This window comes from Homo sapiens, chromosome 13 (genome assembly GCF_000001405.40).
Source record: "Homo sapiens chromosome 13, GRCh38.p14 Primary Assembly".
Classification (NCBI taxonomy): domain Eukaryota; kingdom Metazoa; phylum Chordata; class Mammalia; order Primates; family Hominidae; genus Homo; species Homo sapiens.
This window is the reverse complement of record NC_000013.11, coordinates 109,776,016-109,795,849: the sequence shown is the minus strand read 5'-3', so window position 1 is coordinate 109,795,849 and position 19,834 is coordinate 109,776,016. Positions and strand designations below refer to the sequence as shown.

The 19,834-nt window shown below is 48.3% G+C and overlaps 2 protein-coding genes across 2 annotated transcripts in view, besides 4 other annotated features; one reads left to right on the top strand and one right to left on the bottom strand.

Annotated features, from left to right (window-relative positions):
• On the bottom strand, positions 4,854-8,766 carry LOC124903211 (WAS/WASL-interacting protein family member 1-like). Its single transcript, XM_047430835.1, has 2 exons — positions 8,405-8,766; positions 4,854-8,250 (listed from the first exon to the last, which is right to left on the bottom strand). Exons 1-2 carry the CDS (start codon positions 8,755-8,757, stop codon positions 8,013-8,015), a joined length of 591 nt encoding a protein of 196 aa, XP_047286791.1. The 5' UTR covers positions 8,758-8,766; the 3' UTR covers positions 4,854-8,012.
• Positions 8,870-9,039: a silencer, noted in NCBI's record as "silent region_5499". NCBI's record gives its function as "represses an Ori minimal core promoter by ATAC-STARR-seq in GM12878 lymphoblastoid cells {active_cell/tissue: GM12878}" and the evidence as "EXISTENCE:reporter gene assay evidence [ECO:0000049][PMID:35858748]".
• Positions 9,060-9,289: a silencer, noted in NCBI's record as "silent region_5498". NCBI's record gives its function as "represses an Ori minimal core promoter by ATAC-STARR-seq in GM12878 lymphoblastoid cells {active_cell/tissue: GM12878}" and the evidence as "EXISTENCE:reporter gene assay evidence [ECO:0000049][PMID:35858748]".
• IRS2 (insulin receptor substrate 2) overlaps positions 9,267-19,834 on the top strand; it is a 33,889-nt gene continuing 23,321 nt past the window's right edge. Inside the window, exon 1 of the mRNA NM_003749.3 lies at positions 9,267-13,808. Coding sequence (NP_003740.2) covers positions 9,797-13,808 — 4,012 coding nt within the window. The 5' untranslated portion in view covers positions 9,267-9,796. The remainder of the gene's footprint in view (positions 13,809-19,834) is intronic.
• Positions 10,131-10,760: an enhancer, noted in NCBI's record as "H3K27ac-H3K4me1 hESC enhancer chr13:110437437-110438066 (GRCh37/hg19 assembly coordinates)". NCBI's record gives its function as "activates a minimal SCP1, AML or CMV promoter by ChIP-STARR-seq in naive H9 embryonic stem cells {active_cell/tissue: H9 hESC(naive)}" and the evidence as "EXISTENCE:reporter gene assay evidence [ECO:0000049][PMID:30033119]".
• Positions 13,346-13,912: an enhancer, noted in NCBI's record as "H3K27ac-H3K4me1 hESC enhancer chr13:110434285-110434851 (GRCh37/hg19 assembly coordinates)". NCBI's record gives its function as "activates a minimal SCP1, AML or CMV promoter by ChIP-STARR-seq in primed H9 embryonic stem cells {active_cell/tissue: H9 hESC(primed)}" and the evidence as "EXISTENCE:reporter gene assay evidence [ECO:0000049][PMID:30033119]".

Here is a 19,834-nt window from a genome sequence, read left to right as displayed (position 1 = left end):
CTGAAGGTCCTCTCTTCCTCCCCTACCCCCAAATCATCACCAAGTGCTACTGAGCCTTTAGAAATTAAAGTCAATTATTTTTACACTGTTAAATATTTGATACATACTTGTGCTACAAAATTCGGAAAGTCCGAAAAGTAACACGATGAAACGTGAGTCCTCTCCCCAACCCGTCCCTTCCCCAGGAAGCCAGGTTGGCTCCTCGCATTGCCATATTTGTGAGGTCACTTGCAGTAGGTATCTGTGCACATACCCACACGTTTTAAAAATAAAAAAAATGGTTGTACTATACTATACACACTGTTCTGAAGCTTGTTTTCCCACCTCACATTATACAGTCAAATATTATTCTGGGTCAGTATAAACAGAGCTGCCTCGTTTGTGTTACAGTTGCATAGGGTTCAAACCTTTGCCATTACAAGACAATACTGTAATCATGTGTATAAGTTTCTATTCCTAACAATAATGCAATGAACACCCTTATAAAGAAGTCATTTCCCATCCACATGAGTAATTCCTGGAAATTAGATTGTGGGTCAAGGAACATGAGACATTTGTCGTTTTGACAGATACAGCCAAATTGTATAGATGCTGTTCAGTCTGTACCACCAGCAGCCTTGGGTGGGAACCTGTTTCCCAACATTCTGGCAAACACACCGTGTTATCAAACTTCTTGATCTGTGCCAATCTGATAGGTGAACTATTCTACCACATTGTGGTTTTAATTTGCATTCATCTTATTACAAGAAAGGTTAAGCAAACTTTCACACATTTAAGCCTTTCTTGCATTAATTTTCATTATTGTGAAATTTGTATTCAGGTCATTCACCAATTTTTAGAATGTTTTTAGTTTCTTATTTTTTACAGCGCTCTTTTAAAGTATTAAATAAGCATCATTAGCACTTCATCTATGATACTGGCTGCAATTTCCTTCCAGCTTCTACTTTAACTTTGCTTTTACTGTTTTTGTTTTGTTTTTACTGTATTCCCCCTACAGAATCCTATTTTAGAAAGTCAAGTTTATCAATATTTCTTTACTTTTCTACTTGGTTTTATGGTTTCATGTTTTAATATTTAATTTTTTGCTTCACCTGACATTTTAGTGAAAGGACACAGGCATCTAATTTTTATGTGTCTACAGGTATATTTTCTGGTTCTGCCAACCCCATTTACTGAATAATCTCTTATCCTCCAATGAAATAAACTGCCAGCTTTATAATATGCTTTGTCCCTTGTATCTAGATTTAGTTCTGTACCAAATACAACTGACCTTTTGATTTGGCTATGTTCATGTAGGTTCTCCACCTCCCACTGATTTGTGAGCTTCCTAAGCACACTGTCAGGGTTTGAGATTTTACTCCCTTTCCCTTAGAAAGTAATGTTAGCCCGTCACCGTTAGGTGGATGCTGGCAGAGGATGTAAGCCTTTCCGGTCAGAGACTCATGGCACAGAAAGTGGCATGACTTGCCTCTATTCCTCTTGCTTCCCGGGCAGCATGGGGCAACAGGGCGGGGCCTGTTGGATGCCACGCCTGCAGTGGGCTGTGTTTCGGCTGACACAAAGGACTTGGGTAATCCACCATTTTTGTAGCAGGAAATAAGCAGGCCCGCACTTTGTTCTGGAATGCGACCTCACCTCTTAGTGTGGTTTGCTGCAAGCACAACCCTTAAAAAAGGCTTGAGTAAAGCAAAGCCAGGGTCTTGCGTATTTCACTGACCCACTAACAGGCGTGGGAGCAGGAGAGACGCACAGAGGAGGGCCTTTCCCAGCAGACACAGCTGAGTGGTTGTGGTCGGTTTGCATTTTGATGTCCACAGGATCAGTGTCTAGTACAAAGTAGGTGCTTAAGAAACGTTGATAAATTTGACCGAATCCAACATTTCACTGGGTTAGAATGAATTTACCACCACACAGCATAACTACATCACTACATCTATTGAGTATTATTCTCTACTACACAGATGGGTCCTCACACTATGGACCCAGGCAGCGTCAAGAGTCCAAAACGGTACCTTCTAAAGGAAGCAACCTAAAAATAAAAGAAATAGAATTACTGTTTGACTCATTAAAACTAATTTCTGTGAAATGAAATTTAGAAACTTCCTCAGCTCAGAGATAAAAGTCACTTTCTCTACTCTACACCATTAGTAAGAAGAAGGTAAAATTGCAGCATTGGACATTAAAATCAAGCACTAAGAAAGTTTTTTTAAAAAAGCCAGATGATGGTTATAATATATGGCAATTTTTATCTTCAAATTATGTGTGGCAATATTGTAACAAAAGACACAAGAAAAAAATATTTGAGGAAAGAAATAGTTGAGGAAAATAGTGCCTTATTACTTAGACAGAAAGCTAATGGGGCAAAGACCTATGTTCTGGGTAATTCTTAGTATACGTTTGAGGCTTAACAAATATCTAGCACATTTTTAGTAACAATGTTTGCGGATTTTTATATTTTGAATTGAAAATGCCATAAATGCACCTTCACGATAAAGGGTGAGCCCACTTTTGTATTATTCTGTAACTAAAACATGATGATATTTAAAACAACAAAGCAAAATGATGATCTAGATATTAATTTCCTTTAAAGTTTATATTGTGAGAGACAAGGGTGCCATTTTGAAATTGTGGTGTACTTTTAGTGTGAAGAAACTTTAAAACTAGGTACAAGTTTATCAAAATAAAACAGGTAAGTATCAAGTCTCAAAAATATGTATTTCATTTTCTGTGTGCTTTTAGTAGCAGTGAGAATCATGTTTTTAAATTCTCACTTTTACTACCTAAAAGGAAATTTTTGTAGTATAAAATATAATTTTAAGATGTTTTCAATATATAATTCCTATTTTTTTTCTCTTTTAGCAAGACAACCTTGGGCTGACATTCGAAATTTTTACTAAAGAACCAGCAAGTACTAAAATGCAGGCTGATGTTTACACTTTCAGTAGTAATTCTTAGAATGTGTTTATCTGAACTGAAATCTCTACTTAACAGTCAGCGGGAAATGGCAATAAATGGCATCTGCCCTAAATTTCACAAGTTGTTGCTTTATTTATTTTCTTGTGAACCTCATTAATCCATACTCCCTCAAGTCACTTTAGTTTAGTTAATATTATTTGTGTGACAAAAGTGTTTTGAACAAGGAAAAATGGAAAATTCATGTATAAATAGCTAATCATTGGTCTTAAACATAGCATATACACGGAGGCTCAGAGGACAGGTTGGTAAAGATTACTCAAAAGGAGAATTAAAAGACCGCTCAATTCTCAGTTGTGTCATAATCGTATCTTTATGGTAGCTACATATTATAAAATGTTTTTTATTTATCCCTCATACTAGTAAGCGTCAAATTCATGATCTTTGTGAGTATACTGACAAACTACTCTCACAAGCTATTACTATTATTGATATTTTATATATCAACTTTTTTTCATCCATAAAAGTACCTCAACGACATGTTCAGTAGCAAATAAGTTTTCAGATCCCTTCACTCTATTGAATAACAGCTCTGAACACTTTGACTAACTTGAATATCTTCTATTTGCAATGCCTAAAGATTGAGAATAAAGCAGTTAAGAAGGAAGGTGTAATTTGTAAATTTAGAATTGCCAAATTAGTAATGAGTATGTAAGTTCAAATAATTTTACGCAATCAAAAAGATAGTGACATTCGATGCTTATTGCCATTTGTTATTTATGTTTTTAAAATACATTTTTGTTATGTGTCATTTTCAGAGTATGTTTTCTTTCCTATCTTACTTTTTCCAATTTGCTTTTCAATCTTTCAAGATGACTTTGGCTTATCCTAAAAAGAATGTGAGACTTAAAGGTCAATGTAGGGGAGAAATACAATTAAAAAACACTTGGCTTGCCAGATAAGCAAATCTTGATTATAACTTATTTTTGATTAGGTAAACATTCTAAAATAATACTGAATTTAGATTCTTGTTTTTATTTTGTTGGCTAGTATTCTAAACTCTTAAGTGGGCAGTGATATACATTTCTATTAAACTGTATAAGTAACTATGCAAATTGGGATATAAATTGCATTAGAAAATATGAACATATTTGCTTGATACTTAATTCAACCATAAAAAATAAAGTATTGCACTTATTAATGTTCTCTTCCCTCATTTGTCATCTGATATTGCTCTTAGTCACTCACTATCAAAATTTCTTTGTTTAATCTTACTTCTATTAATTTCCTTAAAGTTTCATGCAAAGCAAATTTATGTCAGGTTGTAAGCACCTTTCTCTCAAAGCAACCACCACTGTATTTGTGACAACTCATGCCAGAACCCTGAATCTGCCTTGGGAAGAAACATTGCCAGTTGGTGGCAGCATTCACAAGAGAGGGTCACATTTCCTCTGTTATCTTTAGGTTGAATTTCAAAACAACTCTAGAAAACAGACTCAGAGGGCTAGCCTTGGAAACAGCATGCAAACAACTGCAGAAAAGCGGAAGGTTTCTGACTATAATACAGTTCTACCAAACAGCAGAGCATGTGGCAAAAAAGCCAGGCTGGCTCCCTTCCTCCTGTTTACCTCCTGAGCAGTGTATGAAACAGGGTGAGCTTGCTCCTGGAATCAATAGGTGAATCAATGAACACAGGCTGGTCTTCCCCACTTCATAACATCTGTACTCTGTACAAGGACACTCCGGGCCACCCTCGCTGAGCATCCTCCCGCCCTCTCCCAGAAAATATAGCTGTGTCATCTTACAGACATTTTTAATGTCATCTGCTTATGATGTGCAGATTGAGAAGCAGACAATTTTGTTCTGCTCTGGCATGAAAAAAAAAAAACGTTTTAATCGGCAGCTAGGATAGCAACATGAAGCAACACACAGGACATCAATTTCATCATGCAAAATACCGGTGTATTATATTACAGGGGCCAAGCATTCCAAGGAAAAGTAATGATCTAAGAAGATGCTCTTGCATTTTAAAAATATCTACTAGTGTTATACAGTCATTAATGTATAATTTCCATTTCAATAATAGGAAGCCTTCTGGGAAAAAAAGCTTGTGTTGCTTCTTAAATCTAGAAACACATTCTCAAAATTCAAACAGAACAAAATCCAGAGGCATATTAATAAATATTTTCAACTCCTAACCGCAGTCACTTTTTAATTGGGCATTTATGTATTTCTTCAACATAATTATATTTATAATGAAAAAATGTTGAGAATACTGGATTAGCTGCATTTGTAACTACAACATATTTTTCTAAACAGTATTAATTCAATTGATAAGACTTTAAAAAAGTTATAGTAGTTTGTTCTATCATATATGCACATTAAATAATCATTTATTTTAGAAAATCCTCCCTCATAAAATGAACATTTAGGAAAGAGACTGATCCATATTTTTAACAAGAATAATAAACACACAAGTAGAAAGCCTTTATAATTTCCAAGGGGCTGATCAATTCCATTAACAAATCCTGATACTTTAAATGTTTGCAATGCCATACATAGCAAATGATCCAAACAGCAGTTATATTCTCTCATGTAAGTCATTCTGTTGCCCATACACAGAGTTAGCATGTTACAAAACTCTTGTGAAATTTCAGTTGAAACATTAGCAAATAAATTTGCTGGTAAAGTGCAAGAAGTTTCCTTATAAACCCTAGATGAGGAAAAGTCTGTCCACAGTTCGTTCATCAGAGGAATGGAATTTCTCAAATGAGCTACTGAACAACATTATCTAATAAAATGAAATATAATGAAATGGTGCCACTCATTTTAAAGATTAAATATATCCTTTGACAGAAACCTGTGAAGTTAAAAATCTTTCCCTCTTAAAATACCTTTTAAATTAAAGCTATTCTAACTAGTTATATAGCATTCCACTTAATCTGCTTAGTTTTTAGATTGAGCTCACCTAAATACAAAATACTGTCAAACACCTACAGGGCAAAGAACTAAAAAAAGAAAGAAAATTTCACAAGCAATAAAATGCTATTCACCTTTCTCCTCCCATACTTGCCTTTCCTATATGAAACAAAGAAAATAATTAGTGATGTTCATTATTGGTAGTGCTACTAGTATTTGTATTGTGAACCTGTAACATATTTTTAAATCTCTACACTTTTATATAATTGATTCTTTCTTGAAAAGTAATTATTTCAGAAGACTTCTAATAAAATAATCATTATTGTATATGATTCTGTTAAAAATAGAAAAAACAAACAAACAGAAAAAACTCCCTGCTGAAAGATATGGCCATTTTATTAGCTGTGAAAGGAAAGAAAGCTTCCAAGGAAAGATCTTGGACCATGAGAAAAAATTTCAACCAGGCTGTTTGCTGGCAAGAGGCCATGCCAGCCCCAGCCAGTCCTGCGTGCAGAGCATGTTGGCAGATGTTATTAGCTGACTTTTGTTGAAAAAGTATGGAAGAACAGTTGGAAAATCACAAGGTGTAGAACAAGCTTTAAATAAATAAATAGCTTATCTGGCAATAGAAAGGGGGAAAGAAAACAAGTTCCTCGGTTGAGGAAGAGGACTGGGATACTTCTAATTACAGAGTTTCTTACTGTTGGTTTGTTTCATGGGCTGACTCTCAATGAGAATTGAAATTGTATCATCCACATTTGTATTTGGAGGTTCTAACTGCAGAATTGCAATTAATTTCCAGTTTGCTGTAGGAAATTTATACTCTCTATGACAGAATACCACGGACATAGGTGATAATTCTTTAACCTTCTCTCTTTTGTCCCCAGTCTGGTAACTGAGGCAGTACATGGGGAAAGTGCTAACTGCCAATCCAGAGCTGCTGACACCTTAAAAACACTGGCCTTTAACACTAGGATGGCCCCAAGAAACAAGCAAACAGGAAAAGATGACACCTGCTAGCGTGTGACAGGCACAGCAAGTAAATGTTCAATACGGATATGAAAATGCAACTGCATAATAAAAGTCAACATGAAAAAGAAAAAGATTGCAAAATATACTTTCTCAGAAGAAACCATCACATGATGTTTAAAAGTGGTGGTTCCTTTAGCATTGTCTACTGATGGCTGGCAACATACAGGAACATAGAGGTGGCCCATTTACATCCTCATAAAAGTGGGATGTAAGTGATCACAAAGCCAATAAAACTACACCACATTTTCTTCAAGCACCAAGATAAGAATCCCTTCATCTTTCCTGACTAGACATATTGCTAGGCAACATTTGTGAACGTAAGAAAAGGTAACAAGATCTAAAAAGAACGCCGAAGCATAATGTTCATAAAGGTGGCGCCCCCAACACACACAATCATACACACATACCTATACACACACAATCACACAATCTATTATATAAACAAACACGCACACATGCACACATAGGTGCACAGACTTAAAATGGCATTTCTTGAGGTATTTTTTTTTAAGGTATGATTTAAAAATGGAAGATCAACTTTAAACACACCTTTTTGAGGCACACTGGGTGATATTTGCCACAATGATTATTCTTCCCAAATTCAGGCTACTGATCAATAATCCTAACTGTATACATGCTAAAAATAAAAACGCTATAATCTTTGTACTAGTCAGGGCTCTCTTGGCACATAAAATTAGCCAACACAATCTTCAAGTCACATGTTACAAAAACATATTAAAATATATATCACTCTTTCAAAAATTACACTTATTTTCTCTTAGATTAAGATTTTATTACTTTTAAGATACTTCTATGAATTATAGAGGACATCCAAAAGTAAACATCCGGGACTTAAAAACAATAACCAATATTATAAGATAAATTATTGCTGTAAATTATTTCATGAAGGCACAATTAAAAAAAAAATAAAATAAACAGCCAAAGCCTGTTTTGTTGAGTTTTCTTCGTTGCGCAGGATCGGGAGCTTGCTGGGATCTGAACTCAGGAAGCCCTCACCTCACCCTGACTTGGTCATTGAGGAGACGTAATTGCAGGGGTGCTTATTTGCTATAGGCTTTGAAAGTCACAAAAGCCCAGTAGATACATGAATTCGAAGCAGTTCTCCAAGGGCATCTCCAACTTGGCAGTCACCGCCCGCACCGCGCACACAGGTAGTGGACGCCCGCCCACCTGCCCGTCTGCTGGGCGCAGGGCGCTCCTGGGGTGGGGAGGGCGCTCCTGTGGGGGGAAAAGGGGCGCTCCTGCCTCGGAGGGGGAAAGGACGCCCCTGTGGAAGGAAGGGGGGGCTCTTGAAGCGGTGTGGTGAGAGGACGCTTCCGAGGAAGGAAGGGGGTGCTCCTGCAGCGGTGGGGGGAGAGGACGCCCCTGCGGAAGGAAGGCGGCGCTCCTGCGGGGGCTGGAGAGACGCCCGCGCGGTCTCCCGGCTCAGGGACCGCTGGCTCGCGGGTCCGCCCTCTCCCCGGCGCTATGGAAACCGCACTTTCTCCGCCTGCCGTCCCCGATCTCTTTCTCCTATTACCTCCCAAACGCGATTTCAACTTCCCGACAAGCTGACAAGTGAATGGCGCAGAGGACGCCCCGTAAAGCGCCCGCGAGCGGGTGGGACACAGGCGCCCCCTCCGCGCCCCTCTGTCCTCCACGGAAGGGCGCGCGCCGCTCTCGATCTGGAGCGCGGTGCTCGCGAACCCGCGGCCGCGGGCCCTGGAACCTCCCCGCGTTTCGCGGCTGCGGGGGGACGGAGATGCGGCCGGGAGACGGGGACGGGAAACGGGGGACGGGGATGGGGCGCGCCCACCCCGAGCGCGGGAGCGGCCGCCCTCGCCCAAAATGGGGACCCCGCGCCCCGAGAGCACGGCCCGGCTCGCCGCCCATGCTTCCACTGCAAGGCCGCAGCCCCCGCCGCCGATCCCGATCCCCCGCCCCGCCCAGCCGCGGCCCCGCCCGGCGCCCCCTCCCCGGCGGAAGCTCAAGCCCAATTAATTGAGTCCGAGGCGGGAGGGAAGGGCCCTGCGCGCCGTGGCCCGCCCCGCCCCTCTTCCGCGCCCCTTTTCCCGCCCTGGGTGGCATCTCCTCCGCCGGCATCCACAACAAGCCGCTGATTAATGAGGCCGGGGCCGCCCCACCCCGCCCGGCCGGGCCGGGGCCTTCGCGGGAGGGGGAGGGGACGGCGGGAAACGCGGCCCGGGGAGAAAGGGGGGCGGGGCGGGGGCGCGCGGCCCGCCCCCGCGAGCGCCGCGCCGATTGGCCGAGCGCGCCGTCCGTCGGGGGGCGCGGCGCCAATGCGAGGCAGCGGGGCGGGGCGGCCGCGCTGTGTGTGCCTGCGTAACGCCGAGTCACATGTTGTTTTGCTCTTCTTAGTTCAGTCACTCGGTGCGCGATGTGTTACTCACTGTGCGGCGGGGACCGCGACGAGCCCGGGTCGCCGTTGGCAGCAGCAGCAGCAACACCAGCAGCAGCAGCAGCCCCGGCGGCGGCGCGGACCCCGAGCGCCCGGGCGCACCCCGGCTTCCCGGAGCGCGACGCGGCGGCAGCAGCCCCGGTGCGGCCGCGCGCGCCTTAGGCTCGGCCCCGCGGCTCGGGGACCCCGACTCCCGGCCCAGCGAGCGCGTCCCCCGGCGCCGCCCGAGAGCCCGAGGAGGCAGCGGCCGCAGGCAGCCGGGGAGGGGGGCGGCCACCGCCCGCGCCGGGCATCCTCAGGAGCCCCAGAGCGCGGAGGGCGCGGCGCCGCCGAGCGGTGCTGGCCCCCGCGGGCCTCCCCGGACCTTCCCCACCGCCTGGGCCCGAGGGACGCGTGATCGGGCGGGCGGCCGGGCGCAAGGGTGGGAGGGAGCCGCCCCCGCCCGCGCCCCCTCCGCCCCTCGCCCCAACCCCTGGGCGCCGGGCCCGGGCCGCGCGGCCTGAAGCGCCCGCGATGGCGAGCCCGCCGCGGCACGGGCCGCCCGGGCCGGCGAGCGGAGACGGCCCCAACCTCAACAACAACAACAACAACAACAACCACAGCGTGCGCAAGTGCGGCTACCTGCGCAAGCAGAAGCATGGCCACAAGCGCTTCTTCGTGCTGCGCGGACCCGGCGCGGGCGGCGACGAGGCGACGGCGGGCGGGGGGTCGGCGCCGCAACCGCCGCGGCTCGAGTACTACGAGAGCGAGAAAAAGTGGCGGAGCAAGGCAGGCGCGCCGAAACGGGTGATCGCTCTCGACTGCTGCCTGAACATCAACAAGCGCGCCGACGCCAAGCACAAGTACCTGATCGCCCTCTACACCAAGGACGAGTACTTCGCCGTGGCCGCCGAGAACGAGCAGGAGCAGGAGGGCTGGTACCGCGCGCTCACCGACCTGGTCAGCGAGGGCCGCGCGGCCGCCGGAGACGCGCCCCCCGCCGCCGCGCCCGCCGCGTCCTGCAGCGCCTCCCTGCCCGGCGCCCTGGGCGGCTCTGCCGGCGCCGCCGGGGCCGAGGACAGCTACGGGCTGGTGGCTCCCGCCACGGCCGCCTACCGTGAGGTGTGGCAGGTGAACCTGAAGCCCAAGGGTCTGGGCCAGAGCAAGAACCTGACGGGGGTGTACCGTCTGTGCCTGTCTGCGCGCACCATCGGCTTCGTGAAGCTCAACTGCGAGCAGCCGTCGGTGACGCTGCAGCTCATGAACATCCGCCGCTGCGGCCACTCGGACAGCTTCTTCTTCATCGAGGTGGGCCGCTCGGCCGTCACAGGCCCCGGCGAGCTGTGGATGCAGGCGGACGACTCGGTGGTGGCGCAGAACATCCACGAGACCATCCTGGAGGCCATGAAGGCGCTCAAGGAGCTCTTCGAGTTCCGGCCGCGCAGTAAGAGCCAATCGTCGGGGTCGTCGGCCACGCACCCCATCAGCGTCCCCGGCGCGCGCCGCCACCACCACCTGGTCAACCTGCCCCCCAGCCAGACGGGCCTGGTGCGCCGCTCGCGCACCGACAGCCTGGCCGCCACCCCGCCGGCGGCCAAGTGCAGCTCGTGCCGGGTGCGCACCGCCAGCGAGGGCGACGGCGGCGCGGCGGCGGGAGCGGCGGCCGCGGGCGCCAGGCCGGTGTCGGTGGCTGGGAGCCCCCTGAGCCCCGGGCCGGTGCGCGCGCCCCTGAGCCGCTCGCACACCCTGAGCGGCGGCTGCGGCGGCCGCGGGAGCAAGGTGGCGCTGCTGCCGGCAGGGGGCGCGCTGCAACACAGCCGCTCCATGTCCATGCCCGTGGCGCACTCGCCGCCCGCCGCCACCAGCCCCGGCTCCCTGTCGTCCAGCAGCGGCCACGGCTCGGGCTCCTACCCGCCGCCGCCCGGCCCGCACCCGCCTCTGCCGCATCCGCTGCACCACGGCCCCGGCCAGCGGCCCTCCAGCGGCAGCGCCTCCGCCTCGGGCTCCCCCAGCGACCCCGGCTTCATGTCCCTGGACGAGTACGGCTCCAGCCCAGGCGACCTGCGCGCCTTCTGCAGCCACCGAAGCAACACGCCCGAGTCCATCGCGGAGACGCCCCCGGCCCGAGACGGCGGCGGCGGCGGTGAGTTCTACGGGTACATGACCATGGACAGGCCCCTGAGCCACTGTGGCCGCTCCTACCGCCGGGTCTCGGGGGACGCGGCCCAGGACCTGGACCGAGGGCTGCGCAAGAGGACCTACTCCCTGACCACGCCAGCCCGGCAGCGGCCGGTGCCCCAGCCCTCCTCTGCCTCGCTGGATGAATACACCCTGATGCGGGCCACCTTCTCGGGCAGCGCGGGCCGCCTCTGCCCGTCCTGCCCCGCGTCCTCTCCCAAGGTGGCCTACCACCCCTACCCAGAGGACTACGGAGACATCGAGATCGGCTCCCACAGGAGCTCCAGCAGCAACCTGGGGGCAGACGACGGCTACATGCCCATGACGCCCGGCGCGGCCCTCGCGGGCAGTGGGAGCGGCAGCTGCAGGAGCGACGACTACATGCCCATGAGCCCCGCCAGCGTGTCCGCCCCCAAGCAGATCTTGCAGCCCAGGGCCGCCGCCGCCGCCGCCGCCGCCGTGCCTTCTGCGGGGCCTGCGGGGCCAGCACCCACCTCTGCGGCGGGCAGGACATTCCCGGCGAGCGGGGGCGGCTACAAGGCCAGCTCGCCCGCCGAGAGCTCCCCCGAGGACAGTGGGTACATGCGCATGTGGTGCGGTTCCAAGCTGTCCATGGAGCATGCAGATGGCAAGCTGCTGCCCAACGGGGACTACCTCAACGTGTCCCCCAGCGACGCGGTCACCACGGGCACCCCGCCCGACTTCTTCTCCGCAGCCCTGCACCCCGGCGGGGAGCCGCTCAGGGGCGTTCCCGGCTGCTGCTACAGCTCCTTGCCCCGCTCCTACAAGGCCCCCTACACCTGTGGCGGGGACAGCGACCAGTACGTGCTCATGAGCTCCCCCGTGGGGCGCATCCTGGAGGAGGAGCGTCTGGAGCCTCAGGCCACGCCAGGGCCCAGCCAGGCGGCCAGCGCCTTCGGGGCCGGCCCCACGCAGCCCCCTCACCCTGTAGTGCCTTCGCCCGTGCGGCCTAGCGGCGGCCGCCCGGAGGGCTTCTTGGGCCAGCGCGGCCGGGCGGTGAGGCCCACGCGCCTGTCCCTGGAGGGGCTGCCCAGCCTGCCCAGCATGCACGAGTACCCACTGCCACCGGAGCCCAAGAGCCCCGGCGAGTACATCAACATCGACTTTGGCGAGCCCGGGGCCCGCCTGTCGCCGCCCGCGCCTCCCCTGCTGGCGTCGGCGGCCTCGTCCTCCTCGCTCTTGTCCGCCAGCAGCCCGGCCTCGTCGCTGGGCTCAGGCACCCCGGGCACCAGCAGCGACAGCCGGCAGCGGTCTCCGCTCTCCGACTACATGAACCTCGACTTCAGCTCCCCCAAGTCTCCTAAGCCGGGCGCCCCGAGCGGCCACCCCGTGGGCTCCTTGGACGGCCTCCTGTCCCCCGAGGCCTCCTCCCCGTATCCGCCGTTGCCCCCGCGTCCGTCCGCGTCCCCGTCGTCGTCTCTGCAGCCGCCGCCACCGCCGCCGGCCCCGGGGGAGCTGTACCGCCTGCCCCCCGCCTCGGCCGTTGCCACCGCCCAGGGCCCGGGCGCCGCCTCATCGTTGTCCTCGGACACCGGGGACAATGGTGACTACACCGAGATGGCTTTTGGTGTGGCCGCCACCCCGCCGCAACCTATCGCGGCCCCCCCGAAGCCAGAAGCTGCCCGCGTGGCCAGCCCGACGTCGGGCGTGAAGAGGCTGAGCCTCATGGAGCAGGTGTCGGGAGTCGAGGCCTTCCTGCAGGCCAGCCAGCCCCCGGACCCCCACCGCGGCGCCAAGGTCATCCGCGCAGACCCGCAGGGGGGCCGCCGCCGCCACAGTTCCGAGACCTTCTCCTCCACCACGACGGTCACCCCCGTGTCCCCGTCCTTCGCCCACAACCCCAAGCGCCACAACTCGGCCTCCGTGGAAAATGTCTCTCTCAGGAAAAGCAGCGAGGGCGGCGTGGGTGTCGGCCCTGGAGGGGGCGACGAGCCGCCCACCTCCCCACGACAGTTGCAGCCGGCGCCCCCTTTGGCACCGCAGGGCCGGCCGTGGACCCCGGGTCAGCCCGGGGGCTTGGTCGGTTGTCCTGGGAGCGGTGGATCGCCCATGCGCAGAGAGACCTCTGCCGGCTTCCAGAATGGTCTCAACTACATCGCCATCGACGTGAGGGAGGAGCCCGGGCTGCCACCCCAGCCGCAGCCGCCGCCGCCGCCGCTTCCTCAGCCGGGAGACAAGAGCTCCTGGGGCCGGACCCGAAGCCTCGGGGGTCTCATCAGCGCTGTGGGCGTCGGCAGCACCGGCGGCGGGTGCGGGGGGCCGGGTCCCGGTGCCCTGCCCCCTGCCAACACCTACGCCAGCATTGACTTCTTGTCCCACCACTTGAAGGAGGCCACCATCGTGAAAGGTGAGGAGGCCCTTTGCCTTGGCGTCTGGCGGGAAGGAGGGGCGGGGCGCTGAGGGAGCCTCTTGGGTTTCACTGCTCCCACTTTTTGGGGACCTTGACCCAGAAGCCGACAGCCTGGCACTGGCTCCTTGTTTTGTTTTTCTGCGGGCTGCCCTGTTCTCTTCCTTCAGAGAACTTGCCAGGAACATTCGTCTTGGAGTTGAATGTGACGTTTTCCGCGTGGGAGGGAGACTGATTTTTTGAGGCCCCACCCATTCACCCATTCTGTGCGTCCCACAGCCCCCTGTCCCTTAACACAGTGGAAGTTCTCCCAGACCGGCCACACTAGAGGCCGCGGGGCACCCGACTGTCTTCATCCGGCTGCGTGGGTCCGTCCTTCTGGAAGGACCTCGGGTCCGGACCGCTGCCCTCAGCCGCAGCTTTCACCTTTCCCTGTGTTCCTGGAGCTGGGCTCCGCCTGATTCTTGGTGAGCTTGAAGGTTCAGACCTGAAAGTCATTTAAGAAATGAGCATCCATTTTGATGGCTGCTAATAGCGACAGTTAACCATTTCCGTTTTACACACAAACTGTGGGAGCTTTTCCATCAGAGGCATTGTTTTTCTCGGAAGGGGTGAAACGGTAAGGCTGCACACAGCCTAATGCAGTGGTGTTCAACTTGAGCATATGTGGGAGTTACCTGGAGGCTTTGCTGAAACATGGATCTCTGGCCTGTGTTAACCCCGCAGTTTCCGATGCTGTAGCTTTGGGGCGCGGCCCAGGCTGTGCATTTCTAGTGAGTCTCCGCATAATGCCGATGCTGCTGGCCGGGGGACCACCCTGTGAGGACCCTGCCCCAGGTGAGACTCACCTGGGGAGGATTGAAAAATTACCTGTTGGGCCTCACCCCAGACCCGTTGAAGTGAAACATGAGATGGCTAGGAGGCAGGGACGGACATTTTTCAGAGTTGTCCAGGTGATTTGAATGTGCAGCCAGGATTTACAATCAGTGCTTTGGAGAAAACAAGGGAAAGACAAAAAACACAGGTCTTCTCAAGAACAATTGGATAGGAGGGTGCCTGGTATTGTTCTTCCCGTTCTGATCAAATATCCATGAGGAGAGAGAGCTGATGCAGAATGCAGCTGGTGGTGCATTCTGGCTGTCTAAACTTTGAATGGTGTTTGGGGTCGGGGAGATGAGAGGGAAAGGTGAATGCTCAATTCGGGAGACTTTATTTAATTTTGTAGCTGTTTTCTTTGTAGGGTTCCTAGCAGGATAGAGGCTTTGTGGGAACAGTGAAACATATAGTAAAATTTGGATGCTGGATTAGATGTGAGCCTAAGGTGTAAACAGTCTTCAAGGGTCATGAGATGAGGATCAAGGTGGGCTGGAGATTCACAGCCTTTTGTTCTTAAATAGACCAGTTTAGTGCTATCTAAATCCAGCATCTGTTTTATAGTATACTTAGGACTGTCGGTCCATGGGATTTAAAATTATAGCTGTGGGGTGAACTCCCTGTTATTCTAGTGTAATAGAGAAAAGCTATTTCCTTTATTAAAACCGTATACTAGAAGATGAAGAGTCACAGAGAATTATCAGGAGTGTGGTGCTTCAGCATCCAATTAAATCATTGGAAGTCGCCAGAATGTATCCTGTGAACAGTGATTCTCAGCTGAAGGTCACTTTGGTTGGAGTTACTTATACACTATTGCTAGTGTGTCAGAAAGTTGAAGGATTAGCTGCCTTATAAGACACAGACCATTATAAACACAGCAGCAGCAGCAGCAGTATAATTGAGTGGGGAAAAACACACATATTTATGGTCTGCACAAATGGGTATATGCCAGAGTGAACATGAAAGTAAATTACATCTTACCCGAATCTGATTCTAATCAGAAAACAGCCAAGAACATAACACCTTTTCCTGCTTTCAGTGGAGCTGGTGGGACAAACCTGGACTGGGTGGAGCTGGGGCCCCAGCAGTGGGCTCTGCCATAGCAGGCGCCATAAGCTGGAATTTGTGCCTCCAGGCCTGGAGGGACGCAAGGCGTTTCTGATGAAGCCGATACATTCAGAATTGGGGTCCAAATAGGAAATAATGCCCTTTTCAGGCTAGTGAAAATGTTGAACTCTAAGAGATAAGTTTATTTAGAGACTGGATTGAGCTTTTGTTTAAGATTTCCCACCTGCGTAAAATTCCTTTCAGCCCATAGGATTCTTGATTCTGAAGTCCAGACAGAAGCCTGTGTTCTGTAGCTGCTGAACAAAGATGAGAGATCACTGGGGCTGCTGTTTGTCCGAAGTTTGTGTGGGTATCATGATGAACCCTCTTCTAAGAAGTAAAAGGATCTTTTAAATCAAAATAGACAACTGCAGTCAGTCCACCATGCCCAACGACATTTAAAAAAAAAGAAATATCTGCCCCATTGGGTTTCTAGTAAAGTAAGTTGAACACAGAGAACAGCAGAATAGGAAAGGCTAGTGTCACCTTAGTCCACGTAGCACCAAAGTTGTGGTCCGTTGAGACAGAAAGGAAGCATTTAGGAACTTGGGATAAATACCCACTTTTATTTAACTCATACATGCACTAGAAATTTGTTTGGGATGCTCATAAATACAGAGTTCACAGTAGATCAGTGTCCTTTGAGGAAATGATTTGTAGAAGGCCGACTTGCAAAGCATTTCTTTGAAGATGAAATAGAGAAAGCACTTCCTGGGCGGCCCCCTGCCCTGCCTGGCTCTTAGAAGTGGCCTGTGTTTCCACCCTGAGCTCTTCCTGTTCTGCATGGGAAGACCTCGTTAGTGATGCTGATGCAGAATAATTTTGGGGTTATGTGGGTAATGTTTGGTATTTGCATAAGTGATAGCAGAGAGGTAAGGTTCCAGCCATGTCTGGCACTTGTTTACAATAGAATCGTGAATGGGGGTGGGCTTTCAGTGCAAGAGCCAGTTAAAAAGTATATCTCAGGTACATCTGTTTTTATTAGTCCAGAGCAAACTCAAAATTATGCATCTTATTTGAGGGCAGGTTAAGGTTACTTATCATGTGTTTTTGGTGTGTGTGCATGTGGAAAACTCTAACCAATTTGTTAGGTTTCGTTGTTGTTTGGGAATTGGAAAGACGCTACTGAATTTCCTGTGCTTTAAAACTGATTTTTAAAATTAACTTTATATGTTTTTGTGTTAGGATGGTAGATTGATGAATGCCATAAAATTTGCTGTTTTAGTATTCCTTTTTAGTGATTTTAGGGATTTTATTCTAAAATTGGCGTATATATATGTATGTATGTATAAGACAGATTAGATCAGAATTACTACTGAAAGTATCCATATTTAAATTTTGTTGAATAAAAGGATTATCATTTCTTAAGGGGAAAGAATGATAAGAGATATGTTTCCAAAGGGACAATAAAATCACGATTTATGTTGAAAAGTTTTGCCTTTTGAAGTCGTAAAGCAGAGAATTTTCCTAAATTCAGAAATCCAGTGAGGTGATTGACAAACCACACAAGTTTTCTGTTTGCTGTGGCGGGTGCTAGTTTGCTTTAGTTGGCTGGCTCTGGCCATAATAAGACAATAGCGTGCACTGCTGCTGCCCTATTCGCAGGAGCAGACAACTAAGGTGCTAATGAAAACACACACCGGCTTTCGTGAATGAAAGTCACATGACTTGTTCTGTTTCCTTTATTGAAAGAGAAACCTTTACAAAAATAGTACTTCATAGAAGGAAGCATAGTATGTGGAACACTAAACCAGGAATCAGGAAACCAGGTTTCTAGTTGCTGATCTTAATGAGTCATTGTGTGTCTATGGGAGAGCCACTTAATCCTGCCTTCTCACTTTCCCTGTCTGTAAAATGGGGGTAATTATAATCCTCCCCTTTCTGTGTCACAAGGCCGCTGGAAGGTAAATGAGGTCATAAACATCAAGAGTGTTTTAAGCTCTTCTAAAGGAAGATGCTAATAAATCCAGTTGTTGATACTTATTGCTTTGAAACCATGAATGTATACAGGAAAGACACTTTTGTAAATGGGTGCTCTTAAATTGAAACAAACAGTAACAGCATAGTCTGAAAATGGAGCCAGCACCTTAAAAATTGCTTACCTTTACTGCTTATTGCTAGTTCCGCTCCAGGCTCCCAAGAGCCATTGTTTTCCCCCTTTATGTAACTTAAGATCTGTTCATAGATATTTATGAACAGATTGTAACAAAGTGGTGTTCTAAATTACATAGTAAAGTAACAATTAGGGAAAACAGTATGGTAATCCTGAAACTATGTTAAGACTGAACTTCTGATTACCTTTTATTACTGGTTTTTATATTAAGAGATGTTGACAAGATGAAAATGTATAATTAGAATATACATTTTAAAAATCGCCTCTTAATGCCGAATGCATTGAAAGAAAAACAGAACCCTGAGGTTGTTTGACTACTCATTGTTTAGTCTGGGGGTTCATTCTTTGGGGTCGATTTAATGAGGGTGGTCATTCCTGCAGTTTTGATGGTAGCACTGTGCTTATCAAACATAGTAGGAAAATGCGTGATTCTTTTGTTTTTCTACCACCCAAAAAGGAATCTTAGTAGAGAATTGATATTTTATTTTCTTTAGAAGTATGAGTATTTAAAATGAGGCTCTTTTTTCTGAAGAGAAGAACTTGGAAAAGTTTTAGTAACAGCATGAGTATAATGGGTTTTCTGTTAAAATTCCCACTAATGCATTTTCTTTAGAAACGTAGTTCTAAGAGCTAATTTTGGTATCAGATTTGGCAAGTAGAAAGGGTTTTTGTTTGTTTGTTTTGGTTTTTTTCTAGGGGGAGTAGCACAGAATCAAGTGTTCCCATTTCACCTTATAAACTTAAGGGAAAATGTAACTTTATTCTTTCATCTGCATTGCCAAGTAGAATGAGGAAAACACTGGGTGAGGCAAAGTGCTGTGCCCCCCGCCCCCCATCCTGCATTTGGACAGCTGTAATGCAGGTGGATTCTCTGTTTCATTTCTCTAGTACGGATGACAGCAGAATGTATATTTCTATACAAGATGAACAAAACGTTTTAATGTTGGCGTTTTAATGAACAAATGAAAACAAAATTTTCTGAATGTCCAAAAGTATTGGTTATAAACACATTAACTGTCAGATCATGATTTTTGTGAAAAGAATGCTGTCCAAGTTTAGATAGGGACACTCTTTCTATATTTAGTTTGAGTGGGTTCTTCAAGACTGCAGTGGTTATTCTGACTCATTTCAGGTAGATTATTGTACACAGAGTTCAGTGCTAGACTTTTCTGAAGAAAACTAGTAAAGTCATCATTTGGCATGGAGGAGATGATGGGGTTGATGATTGCTACTGATTTCAATTTCTTTCAAGATAGCTACAGAGACTTACATTAACTGGGTGCTAAAATACAATGCATAGGTGAAGGTTAGTGTAGAAAGAGTTGGAGTATATGTTGTATACCAACATTTTGCTCTGTAGGTGCAAATAATGCAAGATGCTTCTGTGTGTTATAGCTTTATTACTTAAGTGAATTCATTACATAAGAATTCTGAAATAGATTGGATTAAAACTTATGGGTTACATGTTTACAAATGATAAAATAGTCAATTTGGTGGTTCTGATTAATTTTCTATTAGACTAGGAAAATACTAAGTTTGTATAGAGTCACTTTTATGTGTCCAAAGACACTGTAAAACTTGAATGGGTAAAGGTGAAGCCTTGGAAACTCTGTCCAGTTTTCTTATGTCATATATGATATCTATATACACAAGGTTTATAAAATATTCCTTGCTTACTGTGTTTTTACTGAAATTTGGAATATTTGATCAAATATTTTGACCCACGATATATTTTTTAAAGATAACTGATCACACGCATTGCACCCTGTAAATGCTGGGTTTTTTTCTTTTTTTTTTTTTGAGACGGAGTCTCACTCTATCACTCAGTCTGGAGTGCAGTGGTGTGATCTCGGCTCACTGCAACGTCCACCTCCCGGGTTCAAGCGATTCTCCTGCCTCCGCCTCCTGAGTAGCTGGGACTAGAGGTGCATGC

Bases quoted from the DNA above. Each gene is read 5' to 3' on its own strand.
- LOC124903211 (XM_047430835.1), bottom strand. From the start codon at position 8,757: ATGGGCGGCGAGCCGGGCCGTGCTCTCGGGGCGCGGGGTCCCCATTTT. The intron at 8,251-8,404 runs GTAATAGGAGAA...TTCCTTCCGCAG, and splicing joins GTTGAAATCGCGTTTGGGAG to GGGCGTCCTCTCCCCCCACC.